Below are 20,994 nucleotides of genomic sequence, written 5' to 3'. Positions count from 1 at the left end.
GCTGCTGCTGCCTGGTAGGGAACAGCAGGGACAGCGGCATTATTCCAGCTGACTGTCATGTCCTTTTCTACAGGAACAAAGCCCGTGTATTGTCTTCATTGAATCTGACGGCATCCTGGGGGAAAGAGCAAGATAGATACAGCTGACTCCATTTTTCATAAAAGGATATAAAAATGGTTTCAGTGACTTCCAACATGACAGAAGCTCCCCACAGTGGTGGCAGAATTATTCCAACCTTCCTCCTTCAGTTCTGTGGGTCTTTTCATTACGTTTTGAATGGAATGGATTGAGGTGTACTTGTTTCTCAAATCACAGAACACTACCATTAAGTAATATCATTGTGTCCCAAGAAATAAGTCATTTTTGTCAAAATAAAAGGAAAAACAGATGGTAATAAACTTATCTTACTTATTCCAAGAGCTGTTTCAGCCTAGAAGAAGCCGGTACCACAAAGGCAAAGCTGAGGTCTCCTTCCTTCCCCTCCCCTTCCCCTTTCTCCTCCCCGCTCCTCTCCTCTGACTCACCCCCCGCACCCCCGTGCAGATAATTAATCATGACAACTTCCCAATGAGCCAGGGGAAGGCTCAGAATTCTCAGCGCAGCAACTTAAGCAGCTAGTCCCAATGCTTGGAGTTAGCCCAGGAAATGACAAGTCCACTTTAATAGTCTAAACATTTTGACCAGGTAACACATTAACAAGGTTACAAATCAGAAAATGTAAAAAATTATGATCAAGATCTTCCTCCTACCACATTCTCCATCTACTCAGATTCCTTCATCTCCAAATTAGAACACAATTAACAAGTCACCATAATTATTGGTTTCTTGTATATCCTCTCAGAGATTTTCTTTGTGCTTGTAAAAGCAAATACAGATATCTATTTCCCCCACTTGAATATTGCCTGCACTGTCCATAGCTAGCATCACAATAAATCTTAGAGATTTCCTCATCGGTCCATACGGAAGCCTTGTTCTTTTTGTAGTTGCATTGTGTGACTGCACTATGATATATTCAATCAATCCCTACAAATGGATATGGGTCGTTTACATTCTTTTGCAGTTACAATGAGGTCTCATTAGATCATTTTGAACATATATTATTTCCCATGTGTACTGCTATATGTAGGATATATTCTTAGAAGTGGAATTTCTGGGTCAAAGGATAGGGTGTATTTATAATTTACTAGGTATTTCGAGATAGTCATCCTCAGTGGTTTTACACATTTACAAACCTTCCAATTCTACACGAAAATGCCCTTTTTCTGACAGCCTGACCATAGTTGTTTCATCCAACTTCTCTTCTTTCCGCCAAACTGCTGGATTAGAAACTGTATCTTGCTGGAATTTTTACTTAGCATTTTTCTTATTATGAGTGAGACTGTGCACTTCCTCTTATGTTGAAGATGCACTTTTATTTCCTTGTTTCTGTCATCTCCACTTTTGAACTCATAAGTAGATGACAGATAATGTGCTGCTAAGGAGAAGTGGGCTGTTCTGAGGCCACACCCTAGCCCTGTCCGAGTTTGATGTGAGAAGGACGTGCATCACTGTGCCAGCACCAGCACTTAGTACACAGCTGTGGACCCTGAGGGAGCATGAGTTTCAGCCACAGAAGACAGAAACGACCTTCTCGGCCGAAGGAGCAGCTCAGCACAGATGCAGAGCTCTGCATGGCTTATTTGGAAATGGAACATGTCTGTATGACAGGACCCCAGGTCCTGTGACTGGAACATGGCACTAGGCAGTTAGGATGGAGTCAGCTAATAGAGGGTCTTGAGTGCTGCGGTACAGAGTTTGGGCTTTGCTCTGCAGGTTGTGGATGACGATGCGAGTTACCGAGTAGAAAATTAATACCTCAATTGCCCCAACTGCTAGTGCTGTGTGCACTGCTGTGTGCCCTGGACATAACATTTAAATTCATATTCACAAGCAGTACATATTAAAGAGTCAGTCACTAAAAATAACATTAGTTGCTAGGGATCCTGGAGAGACAGACACTAATAGTTGATGGTATTGTGGTCCAAAGTCTGGTGTCTGAGTCGTCCCGCCAGGCGCCAGCTTCGGTCCTAGGTCACAGATCCTGCTTCACTCCCCAACATAAGCTGAAAGATGCTGCTTGCTAGAATTGAGACTGGAGAGAAGGGAGATAGGATCTGCCGTCATCCCCAAGCCGGGTCCTGTTAGAGGGCAGAGAGGGTGACTCTAGGGCCCACTTCTTCCCAAAATGGATTCACAAGATTAGTAGAAAAAGGAAAGAAGAGAAAATGAGAGAGAAATTAGGCAAACTGAAGCCTAGAAAAATGACGGGTTTTCAAATCTCAAGATTTTCATTTCCTGGTCATTCTTCCTTGAGGTAGTAAGGTCCAAAATTCATCAATATTTCCTATTTTCATAGATATTTACAGCATGTCACCAAGAAAAGAAATGGGTGTCTCTTAATAGACAGTCATGCCTCACGTAACCATGGGGATACGTTTTGAGAAATGCATTATTAGGTGATTTTTGTCATTGTGCAAACATCACAGCATGTACTTACATAAACCTAGATGGTAGAGCCGACACACCCAGGCTATATTATACGGCCTATTGCTCCTAGGCTACAAACCTGTGCAGCATGTGACTGTATTGGATACTATAAGCAGTTCTAACACAATGGTAAGTATTTGTGTATCTAAACGTAGAACAGGTACAGTAAAAATATGGCAATATAATCTTATGGGACCACTGTCATATATGTGGTCAGTTATTGACCAAAAACATCATTATACAGGGTATGATTGTATTTTAAACCTACATATAACTTGCTTTTGAATTAAATAATTTTAAAAATATTTCTATGTTACATGATTCTTGAATAGCCCAAGTCGATAAAAGTATTCTGATTTCATTCTATGAACAGGAAGCGGGGGAGGATAGGCAGTCCTTTAATATTTTTGAACCCACGTATTTGTCTGTTGTGCCTCTGACAAAAGGGGGGAAAATCCTATGGTCTCTGTTTCAGGGGATTTCATGTAGAAGTATTTTATAAGCTTGACCTTTTTCATGTAAAATACCAGCTTTGTGACATTTAAATCTACTAGTGAAAATGAACAGGTTTCATTTACTAAGGGTCTAAGATCATAGAAGTCAATTTTATTGTTGAAGTTTATAAAAAGAAATCATAAGAAGAAATGTGCCAGCAGAGACACACAAGACCATTTGAACAACCACCCACATTTGAACAACCTGATGTGTGTGGACAGGTGTGTGTGTGTGTGTGTGTGTGTGTCCGTGTCAAGACCCACATTGCAGAGAGCTGCTGCTCAGTGACTTCTCTGTCCCAGGGTTTTCCTTTACTTAGCATTCTTTATTACCCTTTCTCGCCCTAAGGAGACAGATGGGCTCCACACTTGTGCTTTGCCAGAGATCATTACATCAATTCTCAGCAATTCTCAGAGCTCCAAGTCCTGTGCCTTTCACAGCTGATGGTGAGGACTCCCTGGGTGGATGAGTTTGTGAGAAGTTGGCCTTCAATATTAAAATAATGAATAGGCTTTAATGTGATTCTTAAGAGCCATTCAACCAGGAAATGTTGGCTTAGATGCAAGAAGCAGTTTTCAGTGAGTTCTCATTTACATATGACTTTCCAACTGCATTTTCTTAGGAACACGGAAATCCAGCGGCTTGCCCAATCATTTAATTTAAACAATTGAATGAAAAACTTTTTCCCCTTGTTAATGTTAGGTACTCTGTACCAGGCAAACAAATACCACTCTTCCTGTGCCTTATAAATTTCTTCAAGGCCATAACCTCAAGTTATCAGAAGAAAAGGAAATCAATGAAATCAGGGACAGGACTGGGCCATCGTAGTGTATTCCTTAAAGCTTAGCAATCATAGTCAATATCGTAACCTAAACATGTGTTACTTATAGAATGCAGACTGAAAACATGTCACTCCATCCTCATGTAACCCCAAAACTATTGATAATGCTCTTTTTTCAGATGCCAATACAATCTTGCTGAGTTTCTCAGAATTCCATAGTAGCCACTAGTTCCTGTTGTAGGAAACACACCACCCCTATTGTAGTGTGTGTTACACATAGTACCAAAGTTTAAGCCAGACAGGAACACTGTCCCTGCATTTTTCTTGCATACGTTTAATTCCCATTCAAGCACAGTACACTTTTGTACATGTACACTGTTTTATTAATGTCCAGAGCAATAAAAGTGCAAAGTTATGCCCATTTTCAGATGAGAATCTACTAAGGTCATCGTTCCCATGGAGCCTTGCACCTGCTTTCCCCTGGCAGTGAATGCATCGGTGCTGTCTGCTTTCATTCCAAAGATCTTTCTCCTTTATTTGATTTTTTAAAGCAAAAGCATATGCAAACACCCAGATACAATAAAATACAGAAAAAGTTAACATGTAGTCATTTTTTTGTTCTGAGTTTTATTAAAATGGAATATGTAGAAGACAAAGCTGCATCCATCTTTGACACCCAAGTGCAAACTTGCTCACCTCCTTACAGAACCAGTGTCATGAATTTGGTGAGTGTCCTTCTAGTTAATTTTTTTACGTTGTATGTTATGTATCCATAAACTATACGTAGGACCACTCTCTGTGTTTTTAGATTATATAAAAATAGTGTCATCCAGGAAAAACCACTTCATTTCTTAAAACTCAATATTATATTTTCAAAATTGATTTATTTTCATTCATATAATCAGCACATAGCTGAATTTTAAAATTTAACCTCTATTTTTTTTAACGTGAGCTAAATTATTTTATAGTTAATTTGACTACTGGATATATTTGTACTTATTTCTGCAATTGTATATCTGTTTTTCATTTATCAGGCTTTTATTTGAAACAACTTCTTACTTTTATTTATTACATTTGTATGAAGTTAAAGTTCTTGAAAGGTGTCTTCCTGAGCTTGTTTTCATTTCATCCTCGAAGCGACCATTCTAGTCCCATTTTTGTCATTATCCTGAGAACCTAACTCATGTGTGATCCTGGGCAAGTTTCCCCTTCCCCGCCTCTCTTTCCTCATCCAGTTGGCCTCGCTCTATGGCCAGGGGTTTTAATTCCACATGCCAGTCATCTTTAATAATAACACTAACCACAGCAGTAATGACACATCCATTTACTGAAAGACTGCTATATTTTAGACAGCATTCCTGAAAAATAAGAGGCTGTGGATAAACACTAATTTCTAAACCAACTGCAAAATATACCCAAAAGTCAGATTTTTTTTTTTTTTTTTTTTTTTTTGAGAAGGAGTTTCGCTCTGTCGCCCAGGCTGCAGTGCAGTGGTTCAATCGCCGCTCACTGCAAGCTCCGCCTCCAGGGTTCATTCCATTCTCCTGCCTCAGCCTCCCGAGTAGCTGGGACTGCAGGTGCCCACCACCACGCCCAACTAATTTTTGTATTTTTAGTAGAGATGGGCTTTCACCTTGTTAGCCAGGATGGTCTCAATCTCCTGACCAGGTGATCCGCCTGCCTCACCCTCCCAAAGTGCTGGGATTACAGGCGTGAGCCACTGCACCTGGCCAAAAGTCAGATATTCTTTATTGCCCTGTTAGCTGGACTAATACTTTGTTATGACCAGCATCTTGATTGAGATTTCTCATTCTTTTTTTCCAAGTTTAGATGGGAAGTGAAAAAAAAATATCCAACCATACTGAGAATCTCTGGTCTATGAGGTTGGGAATATCCTTGAAACTGTCATCCCTCAGACAGGATAGAGGTGTTACAATAAAGATGTCTTGCTCTTGATTCATGCTCATTCTGTTACTGTGGTGAGTTCTTGAATTGATCACTTTCAGATTCTTATCAATGGCAAGGTTCAGCTGTGGATATGATACTCTGAGCTGATAACTCATTAAATGTCCAAACAAACCCCCAAATGAACATCAAATCATAGTCATTCTTTCCATCTTTGTTTGCTTAGGATCCAAAACATTCTGGTAAAACCAACCTACCGCTTGTTAAGCTTTGATAAAAACAAAGAGAAAAAATTTTTCTAAATTCAAGCAAAGAAATGTTTGAGCAGGTTCATTTGATATAATAATATTTCTTGAACGTGTGGAACTTGAAAGAATTAGAAATGCACGAGCTTGAAATAGTAACTAGTTCTCAGTTTTTGAAGATTTTCCCAGAACTACCGGTGAATTGTTCTCTTCTAACATAAACATTTAGTGCCATAAATTTCCTCCTCAGCATTGCTCCAGCTGTGTCCCACAAATTTTCTTATGTTGTATTTTCATTTTCTTTCAGCTCAACATATTATTTGAATTTTTTTCCTTGATACTTCCTCTTTAACCCATAGATTATTTAGAAATGTGTTATTTAGTCTCTAAGTGCTTGAAGGTATGTCTGTTATTTTTTCTGTCATTTATTTCTAGTTTGATTCCATTGTGGTCAGAGAAGACAGTCTGTATTATTTCAGTTCTATTGTATTTGTTAAGATTTATTTTATGGCCCAGTATATGATCTATCTTGCTGTCTTGGTTCATTTTGTGTTGCTATAACAAAATATGGCAGACTGGGTAATATATAATAAACAGAAATGTATTGGCTAACAGTTCTGGATGCTGGAAAGTTCAAGATTGAGGGGCTGGCATGTGGTAAGAGCCTTCTTGCTGCATCTTAACACGGGAGAAATCATCACATGGCAGAAGGGCAAGGAAACAGTGAGAGAGAGAGACAAAAAGGGGCCAAACTAACCCTTTTATAAAAAACCCACTCCCATGATAATAGCATTAATCCAATCACGATAATGGTGCCCTCATAACCCAAGTAACTCCCATTAGGCCCCACCCCCAACACTACTGCATTGGAGATTAAGTTTATCACACATGGACTTTGGGGAACACATTCCAATCACAGCGCATAGTAAATGCTTTGTGAGCATTTGAAAAGAATGTATATTCTACTGTTACTGAGTGAAGTGTTCTATAAACTACTGAGTTGTTCTACATATTTTCTGATTTTCTGTCTAGATGTTCTAGCAGTTGATGAGAGAGAGGTGTTGAAGCCTCCGACTACAATAATAGATTTACCTATTTCTTTTTTTGGTTCTATCAGTTTTTGCTTCACATATTGATACAGAAGGGGGCAGAGAAGTGCTGAGAAGGGAAGGGCATGCTCCCAGGTGAGGGCTCCACCCCCAAGCCTGTGCCCATGGACCTAGGTGAGGACAGGCATTTCCGTTTTCCTGCCTAAATGTTGCATTTCCCAAGACCACTCTGGCCTGCCATGCCCTCATCCTGTGCCTATAAAGACCCTAAGACCCTAGCAGGACGGGACACAAACAGCTGGCGTTGAGAGGAACATATTTGCAGAAGAACACACAAGTGGCTGGACATCAAGAAGACGTCCAAAGGAGCACGCTGGCAGAAGAGCACACAGACAGACACTGGCAGGCCATTGACTGGCAGAACAACATGGAGTTTGGCGGGGTGGTTGGAGGAGAGCCGGCCTGACTCCAGCCAAAAACCACCTTCCCACTCCATCTCCCTTCTGTCTCCCCCATCTGCTGAGAGCTACTTCCACTCAATAAAACCTTGCATTCATTCTCCAGTCCCACGTGTCCTCTGATTCTTTTGGTACACCAAGGCAAGAAACCCTGGGATACAGAAAGCCATCTGTCCTTGTGATAAGGCAGAGGGTCTAATTGAGCTGACTAACACAAGCTGCCTACAGATGGCTAAACTAAAAGAGCACCCTGTAACACACGCCTACTGGGGCTTCAGGAACTGTAAACATTCACCCCTAGGCACTGCTGTGGGGTCAGAACCCCACAGCCTGCCCATCTGCATGCTCCCCTTAGGGGTTTGAGCAGCAGGGCACGGAAGAAGTGAGCCACACCCCCATCACACACCCTGCAAGGGGGACAAGGGAACTTTTCTCATTTCAGTATGTTGCAGCTCTGTTGCTTGATGCATAAATGTTTAGGATTGCTATGTTTTCTTGGTGGATCGACCTTCTGTCATTATATAATGTCCTTTTCTGTACCTGGTGATTTTCTATACTCTGAAGCATACTTTCTCTGATTTATAAAAAGAATTCCTGAAAAGAATTTCTGTTTTCTTTTAATTAATGTTTCCATGGTACATCTTTTTTCAAACTTTCATTTTTAACCTACTTATATTGCTATTAATAAAAGAGAGTTCAGACAGTAGATAGTTGGGACATAGTTTAAATCCACTCTGCCAATCTCTGTCTTATAATTGGTAAATTCAGATCATTTACATTTATTGTAATTACTCATATGCTCAAGTGTAAGTCTGCCTTTTAATTTTCTTTGTGTTTTTTCTGTTTTTTTATTTCTCTTTTTTTCTTGTTCTTGCTCACCTGTGGGTTACTTAATTTTTTAGAATTCCATCTTTATATATTTGTAGTATTTTGACTATAACTATGTGTGTGTATTTTTAATAATTCCTCCAAGTATGATATTGTACATATATAATTCATCAAAGACTATTGGTGTTGACATTTTACCAATTTGAGTGAACTGTAAAAACCTTACTTCCTTTTAAGTCCCTTTGCCCTCCTCCATTTGTAATATAATTTACTAAGTATTTCCTCTGCGTACATTTGGAACCATACCAGAAAATTTTTGCGTTGTAATTTTGACTTCAAAGTCAAACATAACTTACAAAACTTAAAAATAGAAAAAAATCCATTTACAAGTAATTTTTTGCTTTTTCCATGTTCTTTTATCCTTCCTAATGTTACCAAGATTCTGCTTTTGATTTCCTTTCAGTTTCAAGAACTTCTATTAGCCATTCTTTTAGGATAGGTCTGCTGGTGACAAATTCTCTTCGTTTTACTATATCTGAGAGTGAGTTAATTTTTTTTAATAAGTTCATTTCTAAAGGCTATTTTGGCTGAATATAGGACTTCAGTTTCTTTTCTTTTATCACTGGAAAAATTTGTGTCATGTCCTTCTGGCTTCCATTGTTTCTGATGAGAAATCTGTCATTTAAATTATGTTTTTTTTTTCCTCTTGCTGCTTTAAAGATTTTTTTGTTTGCATTTAGTTTTCACAAGTTTGATTACATTGTGTCTTGGAAACTATTGCTTTGGGTTTTTATTGTTTGGGATTCACTCAGCTTCTTAAATCTTTAGGTTTATGTCTCTTGCTGAATTTGGAAAATGTTTAGTCATTACTTGTTTGAACACATTTTCAGCCTCATTCTCTTTCCTCTCTTCTTCCCAGACTTTCATTAAATCAATATTAGATCTTTTGTTATAGTACCACAAATCTCTGAGGCTCTGTTTATTTTGTTTTTTTGAAACAAAAGTTTTTTTCTCTATTGTTAGAATTGGGTAGTTTGAATTGTTTTATCTTTGATTCATCTGGTTCTTTCTTCTGTCTTCTCCATTCTTCTGCTGAACTCAGTTATCATATATTTCAGTACTAAAATTTGTGCGTGTTTCTTCTTCATTTCTTCGTATTTTTTTCTATTTCTTTGTAGAGACTTTGTATTTTTTATTTGTTTAAAACATGTTCATAATTTTCTGTCAAAGTGTTTTTATAATGGCTTCTATAAAATCCTTGTTAGATAATTTCAACATCTCTGTCATCTCAGTGTCGGTATATTTTAATTGTCTTTTTTCATTCAAGTTGATATTTTCCTGGTTCATGATATGATGAGTGATTTTCATTTGTATCCTGGCTAATACACACACACACACACACACACCCCCACACACACACATATATACATGCAAATAATATTGTATTACTTCATGCTATTACTGTCATTTCTTTTCTATGTATGTTATAAGCCCCCCAACACACTGTTAGTGTGTTTTGTTGTTCGGTTCTCTTTTAAAGATAAGAAAAGTTTCTACTTTATTTAACTGTATTTTTATTTGTTCTAGCACACTTTTTTCTTTGTATACATCTAAATTGCCATCTGCTGTCATTTTTTTTTTTTTAAACAGAGTCTCCACTGTCACACAGACTGAGGTGCAACGGCATAATCTCGGTTCACTGAAACCTCCGCCTCCTGGATTCAAGCAATTCTCCTGCCCGGTAGCTGGGACTACAGGCGTGCCCCAGCACTCTTGGCTAATTTTTGTATTTTTAGTAGAGACGGGGTTTCCCCATGTTGGCCAGGCTGTTCTTGAACTCCTGACCTCAAGTGATCCACCCATCTCATCTTCCGAAAATGCTGGGATTACAGTTGTGAGCCACCGCGCCTAGCCTCCATCTGCTATCTTACTCTTTCTTTCTAAAAAAAAATGTCCTCAATATTTTTGGCAGTAAATTCTCTCAGCTTTTGTTTGTCTAAAATCTCTTCATTCTGCCTTCATTTTTCTAAGACATTTTCACTGGATATAGAATTCTTGGTTGACTGATGCTTATTTTAGTACTTTAAAGATGTCTCTCCATTTTCTTTAGGCTTAGTTAACTTCTGATGAGAAGTTGTCCATAATTCTTATATATTTTTTCTCTGTGTGTAAGTTGTTCCTTTTGAAACTTTCTGGCTCTCTTCAAGATTTTCTCTTTCATTTTTGGTTTTCTATAGTTTCATTATGATGTAGACAAGTATATATTTTTTTAATCCTGCTTCAGTTTTCTTGAGCTTCTTCAATCTGTAATTAGTTGACTCTCATTAACTAAAAAATAATTATCAGCCAGTCTTTTTAAATATTTCTTCTGCCTATTCTCCTCTCCACCTTCTCCAATTTTAGGTATTTTATGTTGTCCCATAGCCTTATATCCCTTGCTGTATTTTTTCTCTTTGTTCTTTCTTTGTGTTTCACTTTGCTTAATTTCTATTTACTTATCTTTAGGTTCACGGATGTTTTATTTTGATATGTCCAGTTTGCTGATAAACTCATTGAAAGAGTTCTTCATCTCTGATACTATGTTTTTCACTTCTAACATTTTCATTTGACTCTGGTTATAGTTTATATCTCTCTGCTGACATCCACCATCTGTTCAAGCATTATTGTCTACTTGTTGTACTATAGTTTTTTAGCATATTTAACATCTGTACTTACATATTTATTTATTAAAATATTTAACATCCTTATGATAGTTCCAATATCAGATCATTTCTGGGCCAAGCTCTGTTGAATGCTTATCAGCACTGCTACAGCAAAATGTGGTGGTATAAATGCTGTCCATCATTATCAAGAAAGGAAAATGCAGTGTGAAGATAGAAAACGAAGAAATAAACCTATCATATTTTAAAACACTATGATCATAGAAAATTCAACAAAACCCAACTGAAATAATAAGAGTTTTTGGCAAGGTCAAATTTCAAAAAATTAGCATGTTTCAAAAATTTATTCATAATTCAAAAATTAATAGCATTAACAGCAATCAACTGGAAAATATTCTTAAAAAAATGCCATTCAGAATTGTGACAATATCTGTAAAGCATCAGGAATTAGCAAATAATGAATAAAAGCAATTTGGAAAAATATTAAAATTTAATTCAACTTTGTACAACAGAATCTGAATAAATAGAGAGTTAGTCATGTTCTTGGATGGACTTTTTGAAAATATCAACTCTCCCAACATTGTTTCATAGCTTCAAAACATCAATCAAATGCCAGATATATTTGTAAGGCACTTGTTAAACTTATTCTAAAATGGTTTAGGACATAATATTCTACTATGTAATAGTCTATGAAGGGTTAAGTCAACTTTAAAAAAGAGGAGCACAGAGTGGGATCTTGCTCTATGAGCCACTAAGATAAGCTTCAAAGACACAGTAATAAAAACAGTATGGCACCAGATAAGAATAGACAAACAGGCCAATGAAATGGCATAAAAAGTCGCAGACAAGATCCCTTGTATATGGGAACTTAATATATGATAAAAGTAGCAGTATAGATCAATAAAGAAAGGAACATTCAGTAGACATTTCAATGGCGTAGTGGTAAACCAGTCCCCTAAAGGAAAAAATACTTGATTTATTGATAATTCCCATGGTATAAAAACTCCCAGCACGGCCTATTTCAAACTGCCAACAATTTAGCAACCAGCTTACAAAATTCCTCAATATTTAACAATTGGCTCTTGCCACATGGCACAAGCTGCTCCAACACATCCCTGGGTGGCTTTCTTTATGGAGGAAAATAAAACCAGATTCTTACCCAACATCATTTAGAAAGAGGTGTTGCAGATGGGCAAAAGACCTAAGAAATGGAGATATTAACTATAAAATAATCAAATAATGTAGAAGAATGCAGTATTAACTTCTGGAGGAGGAACGGATTTTTAAACATAACCTTAGATCCTTTTGTGGATCATAAGCATGATGATTGGTTTTTCACACTAACGTGTGAAATGTGCCTCCTTAAAGCCTTATTATAGCATTGACATATTACCCATTGAAGGTGAAAAAAAACATAACATAACCTTAAAAGCAGAAAACCATAAGGCACAACGATTACATTAAAATTAAAAATTCATGTCCAATGAAGGATACCATGGACAAGACAAGCAGATATAAAAACATAAGAGAGGATATTTGCAATCAATACACTAAAAAAAGAGGCTAATATCTCTGCTAGCTAGGAATCTATCAAGAATAAGTAAAAGACGACACAACCAAAAAATATGTAACAAGTAATTCATGGAAGAAAAGTCCAAAAGGCTGACAAACATACAAAATGATATTCAAAATTATTAGTGATTAGGAAACCATAAACTAGAATGATAACATTTCTTTGCACTTAAATGAGAAATGTCAATTGAAAAAGTGAGAAAATGAAAATATTGGTGAAAATGTAGGAATGTAAGAATCTCATGGGCTGTTGGTGAAAATATAGACGGGCAGCCACTTTGGAGATTAATCCGGAAGTACTTAGTCAATCTAAGTATGTTTATACCCAATGACCCCGAAACTCCACCAGAAATATATTTTCTAGACTATATACCACTTCTGGGTATGTATTCTAGAAAAATTCTAACACATTCTTATAAAATAACAAGCATTAAAACCTGTTGTTTGCATAGGCATAAGAGGCAAAGTAGGTGTTCATTCCTGGATGAACAGGACAGCAACATGGCTATATATTAAAAACATAACTAAGTGAAAAAAGTAAAAAAATACCATGAGCACAATCCCTTCAGGTAAATTAAAAGTGTATGCACACAAAACAACATAGTTTTTATGAGAAGACATACAAATAATCAGATACACATAAACCACCTTATAATTGTGGCATACAGAGGAGGGAGGAATGGAAGCATGGAATGAGATCCTGTACAGGCCAACAATACCACGAGAACTCAAAGCTCGACACCTGAAGTCCCAAACAGACAAAAGAACCATCATGTGGATGATGGGTTAAAATTGTTCTACGTGGTTCTGGGAGGACATAACTAGAGTAAGAGGCTAAATTTCTAAGGGATCATAGATTTTTGCTTAATAAAAAAAAAGAGGTTTCTTGATGAAGCAATGAGTTCCTCCATATTGGAGATGTACATTAGTTGCTGAATGATCACTTAGTAGATGTTTTGGACCTAAATCTTGTGCACCTTCTGAGAGTCCCATAACTGCCTCCTGCTGTCCAAAAACATTTCCCACTTCCTGGGGCCATTTCTGCCATGATCCCTGAGCAGATTGGTGTCTGAGTTGCACCCTGGGCTCCAAGGCTCATGTGCCCAAAGGCCAAGCCCACGTGTGTCAAACCACCACTCCTCTTCCAGATATGAATCAACGTGATCTCATGTGTCTTGGACTTTCACCAAACAGCCAGTGTTGCTACTGGGAAGTGTGAGGGAAATATCTTGCCTCATGGTGAACCTTGACTAGTAAGAACTGGGAGAAGGGAGATAGCTTAGCAGACAAACATGTTTGCTTTCTTTCATCTGTGAAATACCCCCAAAGAAGTCATTAATTTCAGCAACTTCTCAGAGAAATGCTCTGTGCCCTGTGGACACACCTGCCAAGCCACTGCTGAGTTTCTTCATGGCTGTCATGAAGCAGCAGCCAGCACACCCAACCGCATGGCTCCTCTCATTCCCTTGTCTTGTTTCCTTGTACACACCTTTGGATTTTTACCTGCCAAGTTAAGGGCTAGTACTTTAATCCTTGACTCTGGCTCTGCTTTCTAGAAGACCTTTCTAAGGAGCAAAAATGTTGTCAGGTGGACTCAAGCTGGATGTGGTGATCTGTGAGGCCACTTACACCTCCAGGGGTCTAAGGTTCTACAACTGTGGCCTCATCTTCTGAACAGCAAGATTTCCCACAGGGCTCCTAATGCAATAAATCTTTTGCAAAACTGTGAATATAGGCTACCCATCTCCACTTTCCTTACCTCACATCAGATCATCAAGCTCTTCTTTATCCTTTAGGTGTCAGGGACCAAGTGAAGCTTTCAATATTTGCCAAGAGTGATGACCAGTATGTTATTACATGTAGTACTCCAAGTTCCTGCAGCCCTCCTGAAGAATGATGAAATATTAAGGATCAGTTTTTGATAAGAATACTTAAATGAGAGTCAAGACTGTGGATGGCTCTATATCCATTGATGACTAATATGTGTGTTTTTGGATAAGCTATTGAACTCTTTGTTTTTTCTGCCTTTAAAACTAGACAACATAGTGCTTGCGTGAACATATCATAGAATCGCAATGTAGGAGCTAGAAGCCTGCTACCTCTGACAGATGGGGCCGAGGAGAGGATTGGATAACTTCCAGGAGGAACTAGAGAGATGCAAGGAGTGAGAAGACAGGGAGCTGGCAAGTCTGAGCTCAAGGTTTTTATCTAGAAAAGAAGCTGAGTTTGCCTGCATACAGAGTGGGTGAGACAATGTGTTTTAAAATACCTACAGGATGCTTGGCAGATGGCAGGTGTTCACCAAGGAATAGTTAAATTTGATTCTATGCATTTTTTTTTTACAATAAGGAGGAGAGATAACGTGTATATGACCTTGTTCAGTGAGTGTTGGAATAAAGACACAGTGGTGCAGAGCCCTAAGGACTGATCATCAGGCCAAGACTGAGGACCTCAGCACAACCTTCTGGGGAAATCGTGTGGGGAGAGCCTCGATGATAAAGATGTTAGAAATTACTTGGAGGGATGCTTATGCCATGGTTCTGCTGATAAGAACAAAAGAGTGCATCTGGACCTTTGATTGTTTAGCAATGGAGCAAATTATGACTTGCTTTGAAAGAATTTGCTGGTTGAAAGCTGCTGGCTAGACTTCTTAACCATGCCATGAAATGGGACAATGGTCCTGATCTGATGAGGAACTTGAGAGTAAAACAGTTGCTGGGGACAAGATGATTGCAACTTGGGTTTCAGATTCTTACATTTCAGACAACACTAGATAAAATGTAGAGAAACTAGAGAGATCACACAGGAGGCTAATTATTGGATTCTTCAAGAAAATGGTGATTATGAATTCCCAACACAGGGAAAAAGCCTTTTCTGCAGAATGATGAGTTTTTAAGGATTGGCTTTTGAAAAGAATATTTAAATGGCAGTCAGGAGACTGGATAGTTTCAGATCCATTGATGACTAATATGTGTGTTTCTAAGTCAGTCACTGAACTCTTTGTTTTTCCGTTTTTAAAACCAGACAACATAGTACTTGCCCAAACATAGCAGAGAATCGTAACATAGGAAGCTAGAAGAGTGCCACCTCTCGCAGATGGGACAGAGAAAAGACAGAACAAATCTAAACAGATGCAATTGTTGTAATATAACCTCCAGGGTGTGGGAGGTAGGTAAAGGAAGCAGGGCCTGTGTGTTTTACTATCAACCTTGTCTTCCAAAGACAGTGTTTCTGGGAAAAGTGGCAACCTTGTCCAAGCGGCATTGTAGTGCTGACTTTTTGTTGAGTTGCTTTCCTTACAAGCTCATTCCTCAGGGATCAAGTGCTCCTGGGTTCTGGTTGCTTTTATATCCATCCTTCCCTTTCCTATTCCCCTCCCGCCCGCCACCCTTTTAAAAGCTGCTCTGGGAACAGGACCTATTTCCAAGCAATTTTGCGTACACTCGACCTCTTCTAACATTTTAGATTGTTTTTGCCAGGCTCAGTTTGGGAAGCTTTTCAAAATAAAAGAGTCATCTCTCCTGTGTAGTTCTGCTCTCTTGAGAGCAAAGAAGGGAGGCCTTTGCTCTCTAACTATGAGCAATTCCTATTGCAGAGATTTCAGGCCCAGCAGGAGGGAAATAGGAACCCCCTGCTAGATAGCCTGGGCCTGAAGGGCTGAATGGGGCCTGTTCATATTTGTGTCTCCAGTTACCTGCAGAATGTCTGGAGAAGACCTTCAGTAAGATGAGGGGTGTGCACTTTACTACCCACATTTAGAGAAATATGTAGGAATTGTTTACAGGGCTGTGACTAATATTCTGCCAAACATTAAAGTAGGGTTGCATTTATTTAAAGCAAAAGTTTTAAAAACACCCAATAAATAAGAGAAAAAGGCACAATCACCCTCCTAAATAATAACATTAGCAATATTTAATTACCTGTATTCACACTGAAATGAACAGTACTAACATGTTCATTTAAATTAAGACTGGTTCATTTAATTTATATTTATGAGTATATTTAATGGAAGGCAAGGGATACATGGCTAGCTTTCAAGAGAGGAGCCAGGGAATCTTTTGATGCCTGATGCCCCAGAAGGAGTATAGCAGACGCCTCCGAAACAATGCAGACAAACATTCCCAGCCTAGTGGCCTTTGTTCCATGTGGCCACAGTTCACCCCCTGCTCAGGACCCTAGGTTTGGGCCAGGAGGCGGCCCTGAGGGTGCTGAGACAGCCTGGGTGGGACAGAGCCCGAGGCCCTCATGACCAGAGGCTGAGGCCTGAGCCTAGGGTCACAGTGAACCTTAGCAAACCCCACGCCCAGGGCTCACTAACGTCAGCAAGGACAAGATCAGAGGTGAGGCTGGGCCCCATACAAGGGTGCAGGGTAGTGGCTGATAGCTGCTGAGTCCCCTAGTAATGACCACAGACACTACTTCAGCACTGCTGGCCATTTTGGGGACAAATTTTTCTTTAAAGTATAATTAATTAGGATTCATTGCTCCCTCCCTCCCTTTAGTAATTATATTTTATGTTTTCCCTCCCCACAAGATTCTGGAAGATCCTGAAGTGGATGCCATGAAAAAGCAAAAACGCAAAAAAGAGGGTCAGACAAAGGCTCCAGTAGGCAGACCTCAGGTCTTCATCATGCCCAGGGGGTGAAGGCCATCACAGAGAACCAGCAGACAGTGGGCTCCTAGCACAGGTGAACTCTGACTAATGATAACAACGGCTCACACTGGCCGGGGGCTTCTCTGTGCCGGGCACTACTGTGATGGTCCTATGCACAGTCACTCATTCAATACTCCCATCAAAACTTTGAAGTAAGCATTTTTTGTTGACCCTGTTTTATAGGTAAGGAAGGTGGGGTGGAGAGGGTAAGGGAACACACCCAGGGTTACAATTCTTACAAGAAAGGATGAGCTGTGATGGGAACCCAGAGCTGACTTGAGAGCTGGATTGCCGACACCACCCAGCAGTCCTTCTTGTGCATGTGATATTGGGGTATTATGTCATGTGCTTGCTCTGTGACCCAAAGCAAGTCACTTACTCCTCCCATATCTTCACTTTCTCATCACTGAAAGAAGTGGGCAGGACATAAGAGAGTGCGTGGGCTGTGGAAAGGGCATGAGCCTGCTGCAGGGCACCTGCCATTCAATAGCTGGGTGGCCTAGAAATTGTCTATACCTCTCTGTGCCATATCTCAGTTAATCTACACAGATCCTGGGGAAGGTGCTACTAGTATCTCTATTTTATTTATGAAAATAGGAAGGTGCAGAAATGGGAGGGAGGTCCAGCAAGATGAGGCACCTGTAGTTGTCTGAATTATTCCAAACCCCAACATTTAAATATGAAACCATTTGTCCTCTTCTAATATTCTGTGATTCTTACATCTGTTAAACCTACCTTGAAGAATTAGTAGGAGGATTAAATGAGGCAATACTATTGAAAGAGCTTTGAAACTAAAAACCACCATGCAAATAGGAGGTCTAGCTGGGGCAGAGAAGGTGCATCGTAGCTCTCCAGCATGTGATGAATTTGCACATGTTTCAGGGCCAGAAGCACTCAGGTCTAGGTGGGAGAAGTAAAGGAAAACAGGTACTCCACTCAAGTTACACTCCAAGCGTTGGGGACCTTCAAAGGAAAAGAATGCAAAATTATGAATACAAAATTGCTAGGACTCTTCTTCGGGCTTTGAAAGGAGCTCATGGAAGTGAGGAATTGCGAAACTGAAGCTCCATCAGCTTCAAGATATCCATGTTTGTGGATTAAAATAATAAATGTTATTAAAATGTCCACAGTACCCAAGGCAATATACAGATTAAATGCCATCCCTATCAAAATTCCAACGGTATTTTCACTGAAATAGAAAAAACAATTCTAAAATTTGTATGGAACCAGAAAAGACCCTTAGTTGCCAAAAAATAAAAAATGTTGAGAAAGTAAAACAAAGTTGGAAGCATCACATTGCCCAGTTTCAAATTATATTGTAAAGCAAGAATAAACAAACAGTATGGTACTGTTATAAAAATGGCACATAGACCAATGAAACAGAATAGAGAGCCCAAAAATAAACTCATGCATATATGGTTACCTAATTTTCAACAAGGCTACCAAGAAGACACAATGGGGAAGGATAGTCTCTTCAATAAATGGTGTTGGGAAAAATGAATATCCACATGCAAAAGAATGAAGGCGCCTTATCTAACACCATACACAAAAATCAAAACTTAAGACCATAAAACTCTTAGGAGGAAACACAGGGGGAAAGCCCCTTGCTATTTTCCTTGGCAAGCATTTTTTTAATATATATATCTCACCCAAAGCACAGGCAACAAAAGCAAAAATAGACAAGTGAAGTTGCATCAAACCAAAAAGTCTCTGCACAGCAAAGGAAATAATCAACAAAATGAAAAGGCAGCCAATGGATTAGGAGGAATTATTTGAAAACCATGTATCAGATGAGGGGTTAATATCTAAAAAATAAAAGCAGCTCAAACAACTCAGAAGTATAAACACAAATAACCCCGTTAAAGTATGGGAGAAGGACTGGAATGGGCATTTCTCTAAAGAAGATGTACAAATGTCCAGTGGCTATGTGGAAAGGTGCTCAGCATCACTCATTATCAGGGAAAGGCACATCAAAACCACCACAAGGACATCTTGCCTCACACCTGTTAGGATGGCTTTTACCAAAAAGACAATAGATGAGTATTGGCAAGCATGTGAAGAAAAGGGAACCCTTGTTCATGTTTGGTGGGGATGTAGATTTGTGCAGCCACTGTGAAAGCATATGGAAGTTCTAAGAAAATTAAAAATACAACTACCATATGACCCACCCACTCGTCTTCTAGGTATGTACTCAAAAGAGATGAAATCACGACCTTGTAAAGGAATCTGCACTTCCATGTTCACTGCTGCATTACTCACAACAGCCAAGATATGAAAGCACAACCTATGGGTCCACCAAGGGATGAATGGATAAAGAAATTGTTATACATACACACACAAATGGAATATTATTCAGCCTTAAAAAAGAAGGCTGACACCATAGATGAACTTGGAGGACATTATGCTAAATGAACGAAGCCAGGCACAGAAAGACAAGTACTGCATGACCTCTCTTACATGTGGAATCTAAAACAAAACAAAAAAAAAAAACAAAACAAAACACCTCAAATACATAGAAACATAGAGTACAACAGTGGTTACCAAGGGAAGGGGATGGGGAGATGGAAATCAAAGGATACAAACCTGCAGTTATATAGGATAAATAGGGCTAGAAATCTAATGCATAGCACAGGGAGCATAGTTAATAACATTCTATTGCAGACTGGAAATTTGCTAAGAGAATAGGCTTTAGGTATGTTTACTATAAAAAAATGGTAACTATGTGAGATGATGGATATGTCAGTTAGCTTGAATATAGTGACCATTTTACTATGCATGTGTATATCCAAACATCATATTGTATACCTTAAATATATACCTTTAAAAAAAATCCAATCTGCTAAAGAAAAAAAATCAAACTGATTTCAAGGTTTGCAATGACTCATGCCAAGAGCCACACATGGAAAGGAAGAGCAGATGGTTTGTCCCAGAGGTGTGGTCGCTGAAAGCGCCATGTAGGGAAAATAGGAGGCCCCAGGCTGAGAATGTTATGTGTGATTCTAAGAGAATGAATTCGATTTTTGAAACCAAAATCACTTTAGGAAGTTTTATGCTCAGCCCAGCGTTGCTTCCATGGCTCAAAACTTCCTTTGTGGAGAAACTATAGACCCTAAAGTAGGTTCTGTCAAATGCTAAGCCATGGCCAGCCTGTGAATGGTGCTGAAATTTGTGGTATAAAATAAAATCATTTTGAGCTGAACCTAGTGATAAAAGTAGGTGAACAACCTGGGCAATAACATTTTGGGGCAAAAGAAATGAAAGAAGTATGAAGTACTAAACAGATTTTCTTTTGTGGTTAATATACTCATTCTGATAATATTTTCCACAAAGGGACAGAGGTCAACTTTCAGAAGATATCCAGTAGCTCCTAAAATTGCTCTACGTATTTGGATGCTGCATCTCTGGTGTGCTTCCTTAAAAGGGAAATAACAGTGTGACATTTAATGAGTAATAAAACTATCCTAATATTCCATTTCCTCATAAAGATGTAGTGTTAATAATAATACTGACTCCTAAGGTTGTCATGAAGATTAAATGACAGAATGTATGTGAAGCACTAAGCGCAGTGCCTGGGATATATTAAGTGCTTAATAAATAAATATTAACTAATTAATATGTTGGTGTTCAGCATCTTCCATTTTCAATTCACTCTGCTGGGAGCATTTAAAAATTATCTTATTTAACATGCTCATAACCATCCCAAAAGAGATTATAATCTGCCTTTTGCAAATGAAAAACCCCAGTCTTGGAGACGTTGAAAATCTTCCCAGTATCAGGAGTAAGTGGTGAGCAGGAATTCAGCCCTACAGAGGCTCCATGTC

General features: G+C 38.8%; 1 long non-coding RNA gene and 1 other non-coding gene across 2 annotated transcripts; one reads left to right on the top strand and one right to left on the bottom strand.

The window, feature by feature from the left end:
- Positions 1 to 1,101: 1,101 nt before the first annotated feature.
- Positions 1,102 to 18,170, bottom strand: LOC105371989 (uncharacterized). Its single transcript, XR_001753348.1, has 3 exons — positions 17,909 to 18,170; positions 14,279 to 14,405; positions 1,102 to 2,177 (listed from the first exon to the last, which is right to left on the bottom strand). It is a non-coding gene; the product is annotated as an uncharacterized LOC105371989 (long non-coding RNA).
- On the top strand, positions 12,247 to 12,349 carry LOC124904370 (small nucleolar RNA U13). Its single transcript, XR_007066488.1, has one exon. It is a non-coding gene; the product is annotated as a small nucleolar RNA U13 (small nucleolar RNA).
- Positions 18,171 to 20,994: the final 2,824 nt, after the last annotated feature.

Source organism: Homo sapiens, chromosome 18 (assembly GCF_000001405.40).
Source record: "Homo sapiens chromosome 18, GRCh38.p14 Primary Assembly".
Taxonomy (NCBI): Eukaryota; Metazoa; Chordata; class Mammalia; order Primates; family Hominidae; genus Homo; species Homo sapiens.
The sequence above is the reverse complement of the archived record's forward strand: the minus strand, read 5'-3'. Positions and strand labels throughout refer to the sequence as shown.